At 43.6% G+C, this 21,556-nt stretch overlaps 2 annotated features.

Moving 5' to 3' along the window:
• Positions 5,760–6,417: an enhancer, noted in NCBI's record as "H3K27ac hESC enhancer chr4:55191567-55192224 (GRCh37/hg19 assembly coordinates)". NCBI's record gives its function as "activates a minimal SCP1, AML or CMV promoter by ChIP-STARR-seq in naive H9 embryonic stem cells {active_cell/tissue: H9 hESC(naive)}" and the evidence as "EXISTENCE:reporter gene assay evidence [ECO:0000049][PMID:30033119]".
• Positions 6,418–7,075: an enhancer, noted in NCBI's record as "NANOG-H3K27ac hESC enhancer chr4:55190909-55191566 (GRCh37/hg19 assembly coordinates)". NCBI's record gives its function as "activates a minimal SCP1, AML or CMV promoter by ChIP-STARR-seq in primed H9 embryonic stem cells {active_cell/tissue: H9 hESC(primed)}" and the evidence as "EXISTENCE:reporter gene assay evidence [ECO:0000049][PMID:30033119]".

The raw sequence follows: 21,556 nt of genomic DNA, 5'->3' as shown, positions 1-21,556 counted from the left end.
CCTTGGCTGCACATTAGAATCATCTGGAGGTTTTCTGTATGTGGTTGTTTTAATCTCAGTGGCCAAACCTCGTCTCAAATGGATGAAATCAGAAAGTCTAGGACTGAGACTCAGGCACCAGCATTTTTATGGCTTCCCAGGTTATTCCAATTTGCAACTTTAAAAACCGTCCAAGGGTAGAATTCTCTCATTTAGCAACATTGGTCTCCCAGGAAGCAGGTTCCTTTTCATCGGAAACCCAACTCATTCTTTTTTTAAGCCAAAACTCTTCCCTCTAGAGTACCCAAATTCTAATTTACTGGTGTCTCTCATTTATGACCAGATAATTTTCTGGAACCATCATGTTCTGTGCTCTAGGGGATCCAGCTTCACTTCAATTTCTCTGAGCATCTCCACAGTCCATTACTGAGTGTAGTTCAAAGGCAGAACACAGTGCCTACTTCCAACAGGCTAACTGCTAATGAGCATTGGCTCTCCATCATTCTTGCCAATTCTCATGTTCTTTTACTACCCCCAATTTCACCATCTTGGTGCCATTAACCCACATTTCTGCTAGGCTAGAAGTAACTCTCCCCACCCACTCCAGACACTCATCTCCTACCATTTCTCTTCTCAGAGAAGCCTAAGTCCGTAATATAACTCCCCTGCAAGGTTTCAGTCAGTGCTTAGAAGGCTGCAGTGGGCTTCTCTCTGGAATCTCGGGAGATGAACAAAAAATGTCACCTCAGCTAAAATTGAAACTAACGGAATCAATATAAAACAGATGAGGTAGCCCTTCTGCCCTCTTCTAAATAACCTCCCTTAAAAGATGGGCTTCTAAGGCTGGTACAAATGAAAGTAAACCCAACCAAAAGATCAGATGGTTAAAATAGAACTGTAGACCTGAGATGGATTTAATGCAAGAACAGCAACAACAACAAAATCCAAAACAGAGATCGTTAAATGGGGGGAACAAGACTATTTATTTACTTATTTATTTATTTATAGAAATATCCATCTTTAGTTGACTTTGGAAAAAATAAATATTTATAGAAATAAACTTTCATTGAACATATAAATTAATATACAAATAAATTTTAGTGCATGTATATAATTTATAAATAAATATATATGGGATTAGCACTCCCCAAAATGTTTTTGGAAATTACTGTTCTAAATAATTGTGTTCTAAAATTTCAGCATACATAAAAGGCTAGTGCTCAACTTGGAATGAGAAGAAGGAGATGGTGAAAATGGCAAGAGGTGGTCAGTGTTTATCCAGTACTATTGAGAAGCAGTGTCATGACCAGAAGAAAGCTTATCAGGCATATATGGAAGCATGTCCAACTGTTATGGCTTAAATGTCAATTCTTTAAAGTTATCCGGTCCCTTATGCCTGCACTGCAAGGCAATTATCTGATAGTAACCTGACATCTCCTGTACTCTTCCCTACAGGAAGGTCATATGTAAATCAGCCAACTCTGGCCTCCAGGTCTGTTTGGAAATATTATAAAATTATAAATTAGCTTCCTGGTTTCTAAGGTGGTTTGGGTTTAGGTTGGGGTTTCAGTTGAGTTTGATGTGAGTCAGGCCTCCTGAGCCTGATCACCTTTGAGGGAATGTCAGACCCTGAACCTCTCAGGTTCTGCCTGGATCACCATCATTACAAACCACTGCAAGGTACTCTCTAAGCCTCTGTCTTTGGCATTACCTCAAGTGTCACTCAACACATATATAATTTGATTTGTCTGAATTCCAGAGGGAACAGGGTTTCTTAGTCCACCTATGTTTTCAGAAAAGGGAAGTAGGTCTCATTGTTAGGAGCTTAGTAGTAAAACCTCAGATGCTAGGGGACACACAAAATGTAGTATAGGAGGAAACAATCCAAATGTTCATATCTGATAAATGGATAAACAAGATGTGCCATATTTATACAATGGAATATTATTTGTCCATAAAAAGGAATAAAGTTCTGATGGATGCTACAACATTGAAATATTATGCTAAGTGAAAGAATCCAGTCACAAAAGGCTGCATATTATATGATTCCTAAGTATAAAATGTCCAGAACAGAAAAATCTATAGAGATAGAAAGTAGGCCAGGCATAATGTCTCATACCTATAATCCCAGTGCTTTGAGATGCCAACGTGAAAGGATTGCTTGAGCCAAGGAGCCTGAGGCTAGCCTGGGCAATATAGCAAGACCCCATCTCTATAATATTTTTTAAAATTAGCTGGGCATGGTGGCATGGCACTGGAGTCCTAGCTGCTCAGGAGGCTGAGGCAAAAGGATCACTTGAGCCCAGGAGTTTGAAGCTACAGGGAGCTGTGATTGCACCACTGCACTCCAGCCTGGGCAACAGAGGAAGACCCTGTTTCTAAAAAAATAAAATAAATAAAATAATTAAATAAATAAATTTAATTCAATTTAAGCAAATAAAGTAGATTATTAGTTGCCTAGGGTTGGGGGAGGTGGGTCAAGGAGAGGAAAAAAATTATAGCTAAAGCATTACGGGGCTCCCTCTGGGTGTTATGAAAATGTTCTAAAGTTGTGATAACTGCACATCTATGAATATACTAAAAACCATTGAACTGTACCCTTGGTTGAATTGTATGGTATGTGGATTATATTGCAATAAAACCCATTTTAAAAATGAAGTATAAGATGAGGCAATTACCGGCAGTTCATATGGGTCTCCCCTTTGGGATTGTCTTCCACTGGTCACTGGTTTTTCTTCCTAATTACTTTATAAGCACGAAGAAGGAAACCCAACAGCTCATGCTGTCAGAGTTCTCACAGAATTTCACAGAGGTCATCTGTGAAAGCTGATGACCCACCCTCAGCCCACAGTAGAAAAAGGGGCTGTGAGCAGAGGAATACTGATCACTACCTCACACCTCTCTGCAGTGCTCATAACCCCAATGTGACAAACATTTCACAATCAGAAGAAACTCAAAAAAATTTTCAGTAAAGCCAGTATTCTAGATTTCCAAAATATGCATCCAATCTTCGTAGGAAGATTTATCATCACAGAATTCAGGGCTGAAAGATCACACAAGATTTTAAATGTTAACTTAATTATCTTATTGCATAGGCCCAGGGTGTTTGATGAGCTCCATCCCCACAGAGTTTCAGTCAGGGTATGGCATAGACATTTCCTCTCTCCTCTCACCCTCAAACCTGCCTAGGGAGTGTCCAATGCTCACCTTCTCCCAGGGTCATTTGCCTTTTCTTGCTCTCTCCTCTCCTCTCCCTCCAAGCTCTTCTTCCCACTTCAGAAAGTTTAAAATTGCCTTCCTGTGTGGCAGGAAATTGAATTTGTCATATCCTACATTCTTCTAGCTTTTTGGTTTATAGTAAAAAATTTATGCTTGGTCCTCCAAGCTCTGTTACTAAATATTTAAAGAAAAGCTTTGGGAATTTGAAAAATATGCTATTTTTTCTCTCAAGTGTCTGGCTCTTGCAATTCAATGTGTGGCTTTCCCAACTACTATTCCTGAAATGGGCATTGAGAGTGAATTCTGGTTGTCAAAATCTTAACATTGACTTCTTAATTCTCTTCATATCCCAACTATAAAAATCCCAGTCCTCCTTGAGGGACTGTACCTCTAGTTGAATATGTGAAAATAATGTACAAATAAAAACATAGTACCATTTACACATCTAAAAACTGACTAACTAAAGCTTTCTAGTTCAAATGTGCTATGATTCTATGACTTTAACCCAACCAGCCTTGGGTCTTTGGTGCTCCTACCATGGGAGTAGACCCCTAACACCACCAATTTTTGGATTCTTCTCATAAACCCTGATACCTCTTCCTCCTTTCTCTCTCCCCTATCCATTTTCTACATGTGATTAGGTAATGGTCTTCTAATCCCCAAATGGATTGCCAATGATAGAAGGGAGTGGTCACATGGCCCCTGAGTTCTGTGGCACAGGCTAAATCAAGCCTATAAATTCTCTGAAAACACTTGTTTTGTCTCGAAATTTCATGCATGATCCCATTCACCTCCACAACCGATCACTGTTCCTTTTAAATGTTACAAATAAGCTTTAAATGACAAATTGAGCCAGGAGTGGTGACTCACACCTGTAATCCCAGCACTTTGGGAGGCAGAGGTGGAGAATCGCTTGAGCCCAGGAGTTCAAGACCAGCCTGAGCAACACAGTGAGACCGTGTTTCTACAAAAAAAAAAAAAATTCAAAAAAAAAAAATTAGCCAGGTGTGGTGGTGTGCCTGTGATCCTAGCTATTCAAGAGGCTGATGTGAGATGGTTGCTTGAGCCTGGGAGGTTGAGGCTGCATTGAGCCGTGATCATGCCACTGTACTGTAGCCTGGGCAACAGAGCAAGATCCCAGCTCAAAAAAATAATAAAATGAATTACAAATCAAAAGTACTTAGCTTTTTCTAACAATCTTCAAATAAAATTGACCCTCCAGTTTAAAGTGTTGCTTTGATTCTTGTGGCTTCTAACTGGCCTTAACACATAGCCTAGTGGCCCCTGGTAATGGACACACATTTCACAAATATGAGTAGATGATTTGCCAATACTAAGTCTATGTTGACAACCAGTAACAGAAAGTTGAGACAATATTTGTGAAATAAATTAATTTGGAATAGACAATATTAGTGAAATAAATAAATTTGGATTAGTAAGTTTGAGCATCTACTCAGAAAATGTCAAGGAGTAAAACTTGTTTTGCTCCTTGTTCAGACCACCACTTGCAGCATTTGCTGTAATCATATATAACATCTGCATCTTCATAACGTGTAAGGGGGATAGTATTTGGGGAATGGCAAACCACCATATTAATCCTCAGTTATCTTCAATTCCAAATCATGCTAGGGTATTCAGAGCACAGTCATTTTACACCTGGAGGTCTCAAATCATGTACATCTTTGGAATTGTTGAGAAAAGACTCCTTCCCACATGGCAGTAAGGCCACAGGTCTGGCTGTACTAAGGAAGGAAAAGTCTGCCTGTCCAATTGGAAGGATTGTAGGGAAGGAGAAGGGAGAAAGGAGTTGGGGAGAAAGGAATATGTAAAGGTGGTTCCTCTTCCCATCTACGCAAAGAAGGGGCAATGAATTTGTTTTCTGTACCATGTAGAAAATTATCATAAACTTAGTGGCTTAACATGACACATATTTATTATCTCACAGTTTCCATGGGTCAGGAGACTGCATGTTTTAGGTGGGCCCTCAGCCGAGGGAAGAAGGCAGAAGAAGGTGTCAAGAGGCTGTGTTTTCTCTCCCTCTCCCTCTCCCTCTCCCGTCTCCCCACGGTCTCCCTCTCCCTCTCCTGTCTCCCCACGGTCTCCCTCTCCCTCTGTTTCCACGGTCTCCCTCTCATGCCGAGCCGAAGCTGGACTGTACTGCTGCCATCTCGGCTCACTGCAACCTCCCTGCCTGATTCTCCTGCCTCAGCCTGCCGAGTGCCTGCGATTGCAGGCACGCGCTGCCACGCCTGACTGGTTTTCGTATTTTTTTGGTGGAGACGGGGTTTCGCTGTGTTGGCCGGTCTCCAGCTCCTAACCGCGAGTGATCTGCCAGCCTCGGCCTCCCGAGGTGCCGGGATTGCAGACGGAGTCTCGTTCACTCAGTGCTCAATGGTGCCCCGGCTGGAGTGCAGTGGCGTGATGTCAGCTCCCTACAACCTCCACCTCCCAGCCGCCTGCCTTGGCCTCCCAAAGTGCCAAGATTGCATCCTCTGCCCGGCCGCCACCCCGTCTGGGAAGTGAGGAGTGTCTCTGCCTGGCCGCCCATCGTCTGGGATGTGAGGAGCCCCTCTGCCTGGCTGCCCAGTCTGGAAAGTGAGGAGCCTCTCCGTCCGGCCGCCATCCCATCTAGGAAGTGAGGAGCGCCTCTTCCCAGCCGCCATCCCATCTAGGAAGTGAAGAGCGTCTCTGCCCAGCCGCCCATCGTCTGAGATGTGGGGAGCGCCTCTGCCCCGCCGCCCCATCTGGGATGTGAGGAGCGCCTCTGCCCGGCCGCGACCGGGAGGTGAGGAGCATCTCTGCCCGGCCACCCCGTCTGAGAAGTGAGGAGACCCTATGCCTGGCAACTGCCCCGTCTGAGAAGTGAGGAGCCCCTCCGCCCAGTAGCTGCCCCATCTGAGAAGTGAGGAGCCTCTCCGCCCGGCAGCCACCCCGTCTGGGAAGTGAGGAGCATCTCCGCCCGGCAGCCACCCCGTCCGGGAGGGAGTTGGGGGGGTCAGCCCCCCGCCCGGCCAGCCGCCCCGTCCAGGAGGGAGGTGGGGGGGTCAGCCCCCCGCCCGGCCAGCCGCCCCGTCCGGGAGGGAGGTGGAGGGGTCAGGCCCCCGCCCGGCCAGCCGCCCCGTCCGGGAGGGAGGTGGGGGGGTCAGCCCCCCGCCCAGCCAGCCGCCCTGTCCGGGAGGGAGGTGGGGGGGTCAGCCCCCCGCCCGGCCAGCCGCCCCATCCGGGAGGTGAGGGGCGCCTATGCCCAGCCGCCCCTACTGGGAAGTGAGGAGCCCCTCTGCCCGGCCAGCCGCCCCGTCCGGGAGGTGTACCCAACAGCTCATTGAGAACGGGCCAGGATGACAATCGCGGCTTTGTGGAATAGAAAGGGGGGAAAGGTGAGGAAAAGATTGAGAAATCGGATGGTTGCCGTGTCTGTGTAGAAAGAGGTAGACATGGGAGACTTTTCATTTTGTTCTATACTAAGAAAAATTCTTCTGCCTTGGGATCCTGTTGATCTGTGACCTTGCCCCCAGCCCTGTGCTCTCTGAAACATGTGCTGTGTCCACTCAGGGTTAAATGGATTAAGGGCGGTGCAAGATGTGCTTTGTTAAACAGATGTTTGAAGGCAGCATGCTCGTTAAGAGTCGTCGCCACTCCCTAATCTCAAGTACCCAGGGACACAAACACTGCGGAAGGCCGCAGGGTCCTCTGCCTAGGAAAACCAGAGACCTTTGTTCACTTGTTTATCTGCTGACCTTCCCTCCACTATTGTCCTATGACCCTGCCAAATCCCCCTCTGTGAGAAACACCCAAGAATGATCAATAAAAAATAAATAATAAAAAAAAAGAGGCTGTGTTTCTATCTGGTGGACCAACTAGAGAAAGGTTCACTTTCAAGTATGTTCCAGCTGTTAGCAGAATTCCGGAATTCCTTTCCTGGCAGTTGTGGGACTGATGTCTTGCTAGCTTTTGTACAAGGATGGCTCTCGAATGCTAGAGGATGCCCTCAGCTCCTTGCCATGTGGCCTCTCCTTCTGGCTGTTTCACACTTCCAATCTCTCTGACTTATCTGTCCCTGACCTCTGAACACGTATTTAAAGGGCTCATGTGAGTGGGTCTGTACCACCTGGGTAATCTCCCTCTTTTAAGATCAACTGATTTGGGATTTTAATCACATCTGCAAAAGCCCTTCACCACACACAGCACCTAGGTGAGTGTTTGAATACTGGGAGAAGGTGTGTGCACCAAGGGCCTGGAATCCTGGTGGTCATCTTCAAGTTCTGCCCAGGACAAGCCGTCACTGGTACCCAGTTGATGTGTGAGGAAGGCTGGAGACATGTTGCTAGTGCTCGTGTTCCGAGTCATTCTGGGGAGGCCGCAAGCCTTTGGGAAAAGCCCTTGTCTGCCACAGCAGCTTGTAATGGGACAAGAGCAGTGATAGGCATTGTTGTGGAGATGGATGATCAAATGAGTCAAAGGCAGCACTTCCAGCTGCTCAAGTCCTCCCCATGGCGAGCAGATGACTGGGAAGTGCACAGGCAGAGGGAGTGGCCCTGGTGGGCATGAGGGCTGCTGGCCTGGCCAGAGAGCAGAGTTAAGGGGATGGAGTCAGTGGAGACTGAGATAAAGAGCAAAAGCCGCAGACTCTAGCAGTGGGCCCCAGCATGGGAGCCCACCAAGTCTGCAAAGCCAGTCCTGCCACCCTCAAGAGAGGCAGAAAGGGTTCAGAGTTTTGCACAGAGACCCAAAGGTCTGGGCTCTTCTTTCCTGCTGAGAGTCTGGGAGCCACGGCCTTCCACAATTATACCCAGAGCCTTTTTGGAGAATAAATAAAGATGGGGAGGGGATCAGAGAGCCTGAGGAGACTTGAGTTGAGTTTTGGTTTTCCTCGGACTGATGGAGGTTCCAGGGCCCAGGACTCCGGGGTATCAAAACTGGAAAAGTCCTGACAAACAGGAAGGTTGGCACCCTAGCTTTAAAAGGCTATTTCGATTATTAAGTTGACCTAAGATTTAAACTAAATTATGCCAGGCTGAATCTCTCTCACACACACACACGCACCCCCACCTCAGGAAGGTCATGACCATCTACAGTAATGATCAGCTGCGCTGCATTTTTTTTGCTTGCCTGAGTTGTAGGTCTTGTACATTTGCAATACCTCATCACCAGTTTCATATTCTCTTGCTTCATCCTCACAGCAGCACTGTAATAAAGACAGAAAGGGGAATGACAGACGAGGCCAAAAGATGGCCTGAAAAGCCCACGACCAGTGACTGCATTGCAGGGCCCATGTTGGAACCAGATTGTTCAATTCCCAGTTTTCAGCATATGATGAATCTTCAGATCTAAGAATTTTGCCACCTACGCTTATCTTTTCCAGGGCTCTGCTTAATTTCATTAATAAATTAAATCCTGAATATTCATCACATGTCGATTACTATTCATCGAGTGTTCATTGGCTTCATGGCCATATTCAAGACATCAGGTGGGCATGGTCTCAGCTGAACCACAGCCTTCGGCAGTGGGCCCTCCTCACCTGCCTTCCTGGCCCAGATAACAATAGGAAAGTCAGAGCAAAGAGCAGGTCGGCCAGAGCACTATCTTTGTGTGATGCTTCCCCCTTGTGGCCAACTTGCCACTTTGGACAGGAGGTAAAGAATTCTCCAAAAGGTCTTCCTGTTCAGGGATTACCACTTAGGCAGGTAAGATGCCTGGGCTGAGGCCTGAGCCTGGGTGGGCTCTCCCATGCCCCAGGCTCAGAGATTTCACGTGAAGAATCCGGCTTCTTCATCCACTCTCTACTCCTTCGTGGACAAGGCAGGTGGAGGACAGATTGGCCCACAAGAAATCTGGGTGTTTGAAGATTAGGGACCCCAGAATAGTCTCTGACCTCCAAATTCCAGCCAGGAAACTCATCATTGTTTACCACCTGATGCTCTAAGACACATCAGTGCTTGACTGTCAACATATGTTCAGTGCATCTTGAGGGTGTTAATAGGCTGAAAGCAATGGCCAATTGTCCAGGATGACTGGGGAAGAGAAGAGTTGGTGGTTAACCATCCCATAATCTTCATCAAAGCTGCCCTCAGGCCTTCCTTGGTGTTTCTATTCTTTCCTTATGTATGTATAAATACAATTTATAAATTTCATATATATATTTCAGTATATATATATGTATATATATACATATATATATATACTGGAACATATAAATATGTACTTCAGTATATATATACTGGAACACATAAATATATATATAATATATATACTGAATAGAAATATATTTTTACATTCTAAAACTATATTGACCCAATTTGGCAGCCTAAGCGATGATGAAGCGGAGCAGATTTAGCTTGGCACATGGAGTCCTGTTCTACACAGGCTCCAAGACGAGCAGAGCCAGCCTATGATGGAGAGAGTGTCTGAGAGTAGAAAAATAATCAGAAAAATGGTGGCGGGCAAGGTAGAAGAATTAGTGGCAGAACGTTCCTGGATTATTTTTCTGAAGTCAGAAGCTCCAAGGAGGCAGCACTAATGGCAATTAATTGGTTAAAAGAATATTTCAACTAAACTTGTCTCACACTGGGTTTATGTAACTTGGTCTAGTGTAAGGTTCAGGGTGAAAATGGAGATAAGAATTAGAGTCAAGATGGCAGAAAATCTTCCCATTCTTGTTCTTGATAGAAAATCCATCTTCCGTTCTCCTCGCACCTCCTATGTCTTGTTTACATCGTTCATAATGCCTTCTCTTTCTGCTTGCAGGCCTGATTTTAACTCTAACAAATAAACTATTTGGGCAATTATTTCACTAAGTCTTTTTCCACTACCAAACCAGAAATGGGGACAGAAATGACAACAAATGTCTTTGAGTGAATGAGTGAATGAATGAAGGGCTGGATCACTGAATGAATAGGTGTTCAGTGCTGTGTTGGGTACAAGGGGTCCAGAGAGGAACAGAGAGAGGAGGCCTGGCCTCAAGGATCTGACAGTGGAGCAAGTAATTAGAAGGCTGAGGAATGCTTCAAAGCACAAGGGCAGTGAGCTATGAGAGTCTCCAGCAACCTGGCATGGTTTGGGGGTATATGAATTTAATGCCTCAAAAAATGCTTTGTTTAATGCACTAAACAAAGAGGTGGGAATCTGAGGAAAATGAGTGCCAGGCAGACAGAACTGTGTATGCCAAGGCCCGAGGCAGGGAAGGGATTAGCTCATTAGCAAGAGGGAAAGAAAATCACTGTGGCTGGGCCAGAGCGAAGGGGAGAAGGGCATGGAGTGAGGGGGCAGGGGCCAGATCACACAGGGCCTTCAGTCCTTACTGGGCTGGGCTTTTCTCTAAGGGTAGTAAGAAGCCATTGATGAGTAGTAAGCCATGCAGTGACATAATCAGGTTTGTTTTTTTTTTTAAAAAAATGAATTTCTCTGGCTGCTGTGTGGAGAATGGATTGGCCAGAGGGAAGAATAAAGAAGGCAAGGCCCGTCAAGAGGCTGCAGCGGCAGTCCAGGTGAGAGGTGATGCAGGCTTGATCTTGGTGGCAGTCCTGGAAATGAGGAGGATGGGGAGGATCCGGGAGTAATTCAGGAAGAACTTGTAAAGTGTATGAGTCAGAAGAAGGAGTCAGGGATAACACCCAGGTGTGCGGTTTGGGCAGCTGATGCACAGGTACTAAGAGGAGCAGTTCCTGGCTCATTTGGGAGCATCTTGAATTTAGTGTCCTGTGAGGAGCCATATGGTCAGTAATTGCTATGCAAGTCTGGAGCCTGAGAGAGGGCAGTGCTGGAAATAGAGAGAGTGTGAATGGTAAATGAACGGGGCGGGTCCAGGTAAGAGGAGCCTGAGGGAGTCCACCGACAGGCCAGTGGCTAGGCTGCCATGACTGTCTAGGGCAACGCAGCAACTCTGTGTGGTAACTCTTCCTGCATTTTGTTTTCTAGTCTGCATTTTCATGGGCATCAGATAATTAAATTCTCATATGTGGTAGAGGCTATGGTTGCTTACCCCATACCTATTCTCTCCTCTGCCTTGACAACAGACTCCTCTATTGTCAAAGGTCTCAATGTGCCCAGCTAGAAAACTATGCCTCCCGGCATCCTTTGCAGATAAAAATGGCTAGTGGGGTAAAAATGGAAATTGTTGAATGAGACTTTTAAAAAGTGTCCTAAGGGGGGCTGACTCAGCAAGGAGGCATATAACCTTTGGCTCTTCTATTTTTCTTTATTTCCTCCCTGGGACTTGGGCCTAATGGCTGGGGCTTCATTGGCCCTCTTGGACCATGAAGTAAACTTGAGGATGGAAGCTACACACTAAGGGTGGGGAAATGAGCAGAAAGATAGTTTCTGGGTCTCTGATGACTGTGAAGTTACCCTACCAGTCTGGGTGACTTCCAGGTTTCTTTGACATGAAATAAAAAATAAGCTTCTGCATTGTATAAGCCACTGATATTTGGATTTTGTGATTTATGCAGTCAAACTTAATCTGATAGATCATTCATACAATAATCAAACATGACAGTGAATTCAAGAGACTATATAGGAATACGCAAGAAAGGATAATGCAGGTCGGGTTGCTGCATGAAAGAAGAAAATGTTCTGTCTTATATCATCAGGGAAATTTTCCACATTTCTTTCAATGTCTTGAACTGGGAGTGCAACAACCAAAGCAGAACGTCCCAAGTCTCTCCCCTTGGGAGTCTATTAGCAACTGCATCTTTGAAATCACAAGGGCATGTCAATTCCATATACTGAAAGCAAGTACAAAAACTGTGCTCAATGTGATTAAGACCTAACAACTATAATTGAATAATTGCAAAGTTTATTTCAGACAATTTAGAAAGTGCAGGTATCTCAACTGCTTGGAATTCACATTCTGTACAAAGTTTGCTTGCAAAATTTCCAGAAAATTTTATTTATATATATATTTTTTTATATTTTATATATATTTTTTATATTTTATATATATTATATTTTATATATATTTTATATTATATATATAATATATATATATATAAACGTGATTCTCAGTTCCTGTTAGTCCACTAATTCTTCTAGAAGTTGGTCTCCAGGTTGCCTGACAAAGGAGGTATGTGAAGGCCAAAATCCAACCTGGTCTTTCTGCCCAAAGGCTACCTGGGGGTAGGGCCAGTTCCGCCTGGAGGCAGCAGCACTTTTTACAATTTGTCCCCCTTAAGAGGCATCCTTTGGCAATTGACACTGAGATGCTAATGCATTAGCAAGTCCCCTGGTAGATACATGCACTCACGTTGCTCCTCTAAATGGCATTCAAGAAGCTGAGGCATGGGAAGGCGTATCAGGAGTCCCTCCAAACAGCCGAGTAGGCAGATGAGCACTTTGAGGGATTGGTACACAGAAATTTATTACAGGTAGACAGGTATGGATAACCTGTGACCGAGCTGTAGCCACTAATATAAACTCCAAAAAGAGGAAAGCATTTTACTTCCGACCAAGACTAAGGAAATGAGGATGTGACAAAAAGGGGAAATTTTGAAGAAATTTCTTTGGCGCTTCTGTTGCTCTCTAGCAGCCCCTTGTGGTACTTGAAACAATCTGCAGCCCGGTGCCTCTTCCAGGGCCTGCTCTTAGCTGCAAGAGGTTTGAACCCTAAGAAACCGATACCTCAAATGCATTAGAATCCCTCTTCTAGGCACAAGAATCTCATATACCTTTCAAAAAAAAAGTTCACAGTAGCCAAAAAGAAACTAGCAATGCATCAATTTTCTGAACACCAGTGAAGCTCATTCTGTAAGAGAACCAGTTGGGTTAAGAATCTCTCTCTGTCTCCCCCGTTCTCCAAACATTTCATAAAATCTGTGCTCAGGTAAATCAATGGACACAATACCACAGTTCTGTAGGATAGACAGCCAGGAAGTAGGCAAAGGTCGGCTCATGAAGGGCCCTTTGTGTTCTGCTGGGAAATTTTAAGGCAATAGGGAGGTAGGTAGGATGTAAGTAAGGAGGTGACACGATCAAACCTATTATTTACAAAAGATCGTCCTGGAAACAGGGTGCAGCTTGGTTGGGCTGGGGGGAGAATATGGATTAGGAGACTGTGACGTCAAGACTGACTTGGGTCAGGAGACGCTGACCCAAGGCAAGCGTGGAGGCATAAAGACAGAAAAGGAGAGCTTGAAGAGACATGTGTGATGAGAACTGGAAGAGACATGTGTGATGAGAACTGAAGGGCTTAGCAAATGGCCAGATTTCCAACTAAAACAACTCAGTGGCTGGGATCGTCAAGAACTGATACTGCAAACAGGATGTGTGGAGTACGGTAAGGGGTGGAGAGATTGGAAGAGGAGAACTGGATGAGTTTAGATGGTTTCATGGAAAGAGCTTTGCCTCTGGAGTAAGGCTCCTGCCCTGATGCTACTTTGTTCTGTTTTCTATTTGGCATCCATTTCTATGTAGCATCCATTAATCAGAGGGCCAAACTAATGGCCAAAGTTGTTAACATCTCCCCAGAAATCCAGCTTCCACAGGTGCATGAAAATCATTTACAGACCTTCCAACCAGTCCTCAGTCCGTACCCCAAATCACCTCCCCTATCAAACTCACACACCCAAGGGCTAGGCACCAGGTGACTAGAGAATGTCCCAATGCCCCAAAGCCTGCTAGAAGGATGTAGACTAGCCAGTCCTACACTGTTTACCCTGTCCCGCCTTGCCTTTCCTGCAGAAATCCCAGTCCAGGCTGTGGCCTATGCTTTCCCCTTCTGCCTCTTGACCTCTTATGCTTCCCCATGTGACCCTGTGTCACATGACATGCCTTCTCCTCTTGGGAAATGTAGTAAAAATCTTTCAATGGCATTAACTTCTGTGTGATACCACTCAATTCCTTTTATTTATCTTGTTTTTATAGACAAGGTCTCAATCTGTCACCTATGCTGAAATGCAGTCGTGCTATCACAGCTCACTGCAGCCTCAACCTCCTGGGCTCAAACGCTCCTCTTGCCTCAACCTTCTAAGTAGCTGGAAGTACAGGTGTGCACCAACACCAAGACTAGCTAATTTTTTTTTTTTTTTTTTTTTGTAGACACGGGGGTCTCACCAGCTCAGGCTGGTCTGGAACTCCTGACCTCAAGCGATCCTCCTGCCTCAGCCTCCCAAAGCATTGGGATTACAGGCTTGACCCACCATGCCCGGCCTCAATTTGCTTTAAAAATTAAGACATGAGCACAAATCACACCTCTTCCTTTGTAATTCTAGCTATGTTACTACCTTTGAATTTTCTTTTGCTCACCTAAAATATATGAGTAATAAAAAAAATTTATGTGATTGTCATGAGGCTTATTTAAAATATATGATAACAGGACGGGTGTGGTGGCTCATGCCTGTAATCTCAGCACTTTGGAAGGCCAAAATGAAAGGATCACTTAAGACCAGGAGTTTGAGACCAGCCTGGTCAACATGAAGAGACCCCCATCTCTTTTTTTTTTTTTTTTTGAGACAGAGTCTCACTCTGTCACCCAGGCTGGAGTGCAGTAGTATGATCTCGGCTCACTGCAACCTCCGTCTCCCAAATTCAAGCAATTCTTCTGCCTCAGCCTCCTGAGTAGCTGGGACTACAGGCGTGCACCACCATGCCCGACTAACTTTGGTATTTTTAGTAGAGATGGAGTTTCACCATAGTGGCCAGGCTGGCCTCAAACTCCTGTCCTAGTGATCCACCCGCCTTGGCCTCCCAAAGTGCTGGGATTACAGGTGTGAGCTGCCACACCCGGCCCCCATCTCTTAAAAAAAAAGAAAAGTTATAAAAGTCTTTGCACATTATAATCATGTTCATTATTATCACTAACTCTCAAGAATGTGATCTGCTAGTGCCTTTTTCCCAGCAAACTCAGCTTCTTACAGGCACAATATTGTCAATGAATTCATGTTCATGAAGCATCACCCCTGTCCAGATGCAGGGCATCCTATAACCCAGGTAAATTCACTGTGATCTGACCAAGCAACAGATATAGAGCTATGAGAAACAGGATTGGTTGGTCTTACCTAATGCATACAAAACTCTTCACTTAAAAGAGAAAAATTAGTAAAAAGGACTCCCCCTGTGTATTTTTTTAAATGTTATATTTATGATCATTCTAGCTAGAACTTTTCAGGAGTCCAACTATTCAGAACTTGACTATTAAGCCTTTGTTTAAACCCAATTGTTAGTTTATAAAAACTTCCCGCTAGACTCTCAATTATTGTTGTTCTAAACACAATGATTTGAGAACAAAAATGAAACAAAAGATGTTTTAGAAAGAAAAGAAAGGCAATACATGAAAAAAAGCAGACAGAAGGAAAATGGCCTTTTCCAGCAGCAAAATGCTGTTCTTGTTATTCCAAAACATAACAGTAATTCTACAGAGAGCCTCCCACAGTTTCAAGTTGCTAACAAAGAAAGGCTTGTCCAATACCAGTCAGAGAGTATCAGAACCAAGATGGTGACTCTCTTTAAAGGAACTCAGCATGAGAAAATTTCTAGATTTCCCATAGCATTTAATGCTAACTCCATGTGGTTCAGAGTGAGAACAGATTGCAGCAGGATCACAACCAGAATGAGGCATGTGAGATGCCTGAGGTGCAAAATTTAAGGAGGCACATGGACTCCCAACTCTGTTGAGTGTCCCTGGTCCCCACCCTATGGTACAGCTACAAGGATAAAGAATTTCCATTCTAACACCATTAACATAGAGGAGCTCTATCAAGTGGCTAGCCCTCAGCTGTAGCATAGTCTAAATACACACTATTGTATGCTGTACTCCACGCTGAAGCAGGCCTCTATGGATGGACTGGGTCCTTTGCCAAGTAGCTTTCATAGAAATCTAACGACAGTCCTGAATTTGAAGAGGAACTGAAACTAAACATTTGCTTATTCAGACCAGAAGTAGAACAAACTCTCAGCCTCAGTGAGGTACAAGTCAGTGTTTCTGAGAAATTCACAAGTTCTACAAAAACACCTTTTATGAAAGTAGCCACCACCCAAGATCACCCACGTACTTAATTCCAGTAGTGCTTGGGGTAAAAAATTTCCCTATATCTAGTTCTTCCTTTAGCCTCACTCACTCCAGGCTTGGACAGGTTGCCAGTAAAACTCTGGGTTTTTTTTTAAATCTGGGATACAATTATTCCCATAAGTCTGATGGCAAATGAGTGCATTCTGTGGAGTGTTTGGTTTTTCCAGATTCAAGAAAAGCTCTATTTAACTGCAAAGGGTGCTTTTCAGCTGTGTCCCTACTAAAAGCTTCCCATACAGTCACTCTCAAGACTGTTGTTCTTTTTTCACTAGAGACGGCCACAGTCATTATGTTGTAAGCATTCTGAGTTGATGCACATGGGAAGGAACTTCGGGGTCAACATTCAATCTGGCTTCAGGAGTTGCCAGATTTGAGTGTTGGTTTCTCAGTTAGTCTGCTGCCCCGAAGCTCCCCCATAAATCCTTCTGTGAATGGGTAATTTATTCAATCCTGCAACAAATATTTACTGAGCACTTACTCTGAACCAGCACTGTTCCAGGCACCAGGGATGTATCAGTGAACAAAACATGCAAATTCTGTCATCACATAGTTTACATTCTAGAAGGGGAGGCAGAAAATAACCAAAAGCACGTCAATAAACTATACAGTAAGTTAGAAGATTATACGTTGTAGGGGAAGAAAGAGAAAGTTGAGCAGGGTAGGTGGGATGGGATGTGCTGGGGATGGGGGCAGCATAGAGGTGGACATGGTGGGATGGTGCCGATGGCAAGGTTAAATAGGACTGTCAAAGTCGGCCTCTTGGAAAAGATGAAATTAAGGAGATACTTTAAGGAAGTGAGAGGATTATCCAAAGATAACTAGGGAAAGAGCATTCCATACAAAGGGAACAGCCAGTTCAAAGGCCATGACAGGGGTGTGTTCTTGTTGTGCTCTAGAAACTGCAATGAGGCCCGTGAGGTTGGAAGGAAGTGAACAAAGAGAACGGAAGAGAACTTTGAAGAGGTGACGAAGGCCAGATCGTGACAGGCCTTGATAAGTGTAAGACGAAAAGACATTGCACGGTTTTGAGCAGAAGAGTGATCATGACTTCATTTTAAAAGGATTCCTCTAGCTGCTGCTTTGAAAATAGTCTGTTGTGGGAGGGAAAACAGCAAAGTGGGGAGACTTTTGAGGAGCCTACTGCAGTCATACAGGTGAAAGGTCATGATGGCATGGCCCAGGGTGGCAGCACTAGAGAGAGTGAGAGCGGTCAGATTCTGAATAGATTTCAGGTATGCTTAAGGGAGAACCAGAATCTTGGCAGATTAGACACAGAACGTGAGAAAGAGGATTGCCAAGGATGACTCCAAGATTTGGGGCATGAGCAACTGGAAAATTAGAGTTGCCATCAACTGAGATGATGGACACTGATGGTGGATCAAGCTTGAGAGAAGGAAGAAGTTAAGTTTTTTGTTTTTTTGGTTTTTTTGTTTGTTTGTTTTTTGAGATGGGGTCTCGCTCTGTCACCCAGGCTGGAGTGCAATGGCACAATCTCGGCTCACTGCAACTTCCGCCTCCTGGATTCAAGAGATTCTCCTGCCTCAGCCTCCTGCGTAGCTGGGATTACAGGTGCGCACCATCATGCCCAGTTAATATTTGTATTTAGTAGAGATGAGGTTTCACCATGTTAGTCAGGCTGGTCTCAAACTCTTAACCTCATGGTCAGCCTGCCTCAGCCTCCCAAAGTGCTGGGATTACAGGTGTGAGTCATCGCATCTGGCTTGGAAGTTAAGTTTTTTGTTTGTTTTGTTTTGTTTTGAGACAGGGTCTCACTCTAGTCGCCCAGGCTGGAGTGCAGTGGCATGATCACAGCTCACTGCAGCCTCGACTTCCTGGGCTCAGGTGATTCTCCCACCTCAGTCCCCTGAGTAGCTGGGACTGCAGGCATGGGCCACTATGTCTTGCTAATTTTTTGCATTTTTAGTAGAGACAGGGTTCTGCCACATTGCCCAGGCTGGTCTCAAACTCCTGGGCTCAAGTGATGGAAATTGTTTTGAAGGTAAGAGATCAGCTACTTTATATCCTGGCATGCCTGCAGTCCCAGCTACTGGGAAACTGAAGTAGGATGATCTCTTGAGCACAGGATCTCTTTGAGTCCAGCCTGGGCAATGTAGTGAGACCCCATCTCTAAAACAGATATATATAGCTGATAGATAGATAGATAACAGATAGATAATAGATAGATAGATAGATAGATAGATAGATAGATAGATAGATAGATCAACTATTTGACATTCAAATGAAGATGTTGAGTAGGCAGTTGGACACACAACGAGATAGCGAGAGAGAGAGAGAGAGAGAGGCCTGGGTTACAAATATACATTTAGGATCTGCCAGCATATAGATAGTATTTGAAGCCCTGAAGTTAGATGAGACCAAAAAAACAAACAAACAAGACTCTTAGAGAGTCTGCAGCACCTAACCTAGAGACCTGGGGCACTCTAACATGAATAGAGGCCAGGAAAAAAAGGATCAGCAAAGCAACTGAGAAAAAAACAACCTGTAATGCAGGAGAAATACCAAGAGAGTTTGATATATTGGAAGCACAATGAAGAAAGCATACATTAAAAATTAAAATGACAGATATCCCCATACAACTTTTTAGTTTGTTGCAAATAGGTTGTATCGCTTATGCTTACAAATGTTATTTGTTACAAAGAATGGATAACTGAAAATAGTCGCCTAAAGATGTATTTTTCTCATGCAAAAAAGAATCTAGAGGTAGATAGGTCAGGGCTAATGCACCTATGCAAGAATGTCATTTAAAAGCCTGTCTTCTGTCTCCTGGACTGCCACTTTCAGTGTGTAATTTTTAACTTCATGGTCAAAAGATGATTGCTGCAACTCCAGGCAGTAATTCTAAGTTCCAGGCAGAAAGAAATGGGAAGAGCAAAATGAGAAAGACAGAACCTTTTCCTCAAGCTTTTACTTTTTCAGTGCACTAAGGAAGTCCTCCCAAGAAATTGCACCTACATCTTACTGGCCAGAATAAAATTCCATCTGCAAGGGAATTTGAGTACATTGATTTCCAACACTTGCATTAGAAAAAAGTAATAATGGCAATGTTTAGAAAAGATGTTCAGTGAGCCAATCTACTCAGTCATATATACAGCATCTGCAGCAGAGGGTAAGAAATGATACAATAAGGATCTTATGGCTGTAGAAATAAATAGAAAGCTGGAGTGTCCAAGGTAATATCTCTCTGATAAATATATGTATCTAAATGACTTTGTACCTATACCTGAGAGTTATAACCAGACCACTACCCTATTGCTTCCATTTGAACCTCATTTTGTTTTTATTCTGATCAATATCCAAGAATTTCACATGTGAGAATTTTTGTTTTAACTCTATATTGGACCAATACCATTCTCATTTAAAATGAGATCAGCTCAAGAGGATGACTTCAAGAGCCAAACAACCTTGCAGCTCCATCATCACTTTTGGTTTATGGGAATGACTGGCTCCATCCCTGCCTTTCAAAGAGATGTTCTATCTGTAGATTATAGTTATTAAATATTCATGAACCCATCTTATAAGAGAAATATCAATTAATGAATTATGGCTTATTGTTCTTTTGGCTTAGAATACTCTTACCTTCTTCTCTGACTAGAAAAAAATATCCTTCAAAACTCAACTCAAATGCTTCTCTTCAACTTCTCCTAGCCTGACTAAAAGCTCTTTCCTTTGTAGTCTGATAATGCTTTGAATTATCTACCATACTGCATTTAATCAAAATTTGTAGAAGGCAACTAAAATAATGCTTAGACGGAAACATAGCATTAAATCCTTGTATTAGAAAGAATTGGCCAGGTGCGGTGGCTCACACCTCTAATCCCAGCACTTTGAGGGGCTGAGGCGGGCGGATCACATGAAGTCAAGAGTTTGAGAACAGCCTGGCTAACATGGTGAAACCCTGTCTCTACTAAAAATACAAAATTTAGCCAGAAATGGTAGCACACATCTGTAATCCCAGCTACTTGACAGGCTGAGGCAGGATAACCGCTTGAACTTGACTGGAGGTTGCAGTGAGCCAAGATCGTTCACTGCCCTCCAACCTGGGTGACAGAGTGAGACTGTCTCAAAAAAAAAACAAAACAGAAAAATCATGATTTCAAATAAATTATATAAGCTTCTACCATAGGAAAGTAAGGGAAAAATAACAAATTAAGCCTAAGTAGGCAGAAGGAAAGAGGTAATAATGAGTAGAAACCAATGATATAAAATGGGACAAATAATAGGGAATAGATAAACAATGAAACCAAAAGCTGATTCATTGAAATTATCGCTAAAATTAATAAGCCTCTAGGCAAAATCATCAAAAGAAAAAGAGAGACCACACAAATTGTCAGTATCATGAATGAATGAAGGGACACTGCAGATCCTACAATAGTAATGAGTAATAAAATAATGTCATCAACAACTTCATGCTAATAAATTCAATAACATATGAAATCAACAAATTCCTTGAAAAACACAAACTATCCCATCTTACTCATGAATAAGTAAATATCCTGGCTGGACATGATGGCTCATGCCTGTAATCCCAGCACTTTGGGAGGCCAAGTTGGGGGAACTGCTTGAGGCCAGGAGTTTGAGACCAGCCCTGGCAACATAGCGAGACCCTGTCTCTCCAAAAAATTAAAAATTAGCTGACCATGGTGGCACATGCCTGTAGTCCCAGCTACTGAGGAGAGGCTGAGGCAGGAGGATTGCTTGAACCCAGGAGGTGGAGGCTGCAGAGCTATGATTGTGCCACTGCACTCCAGCCTGGATGAGAGAGGGAGAGCTCATCACTAAAAAGTAATTAATTAATCAATTAATTATCCTGAATAGCCTTATGTCTATTAACGAAATTGGACTAGTAATTTATAAACTTTCAACAAAAAATTACCAGGTCCAGGTGGATCCAATGGTAAATTATATCAAACATTTAAGGAAGAAATATCAATTCTACACAAACTGTTCCAGAAAATAGAAAAGGAGGAAACTTCCCAACACATTCTGTGATGCCATTATTACTCTGTTACCAAATGAAGGCAAAAACATGACAAGAATAGAAAACTACAGGTCAATATCAGTCATAAGCATAGAGTTAAAACTCCTTAACAAAACATTAGTAAGTTGAATCTAGCAATATATAAACGTATTATATCATAACTAAGATGGTGTGAACTGGAGAATGCAAAATTGCTTTAGCATTTGGAAACCAGTCAGTGTAATTTACCATATAGTCATCCCTCAGTATCTGTAAAGGATTGGATCCAGGACCCCTCTGCAGATATCAAAATCTGAGGATGTTCAAGTCCCTTATGTAAAATGATGTGGCGTTGTATAAAACCTATGCACATCCTCCTGTAT

This window comes from Homo sapiens, chromosome 4 (assembly GCF_000001405.40).
Source record: "Homo sapiens chromosome 4, GRCh38.p14 Primary Assembly".
Classification (NCBI taxonomy): Eukaryota; Metazoa; Chordata; class Mammalia; order Primates; family Hominidae; genus Homo; species Homo sapiens.
This window is presented reverse-complemented; position numbering and strand designations above follow the sequence as displayed.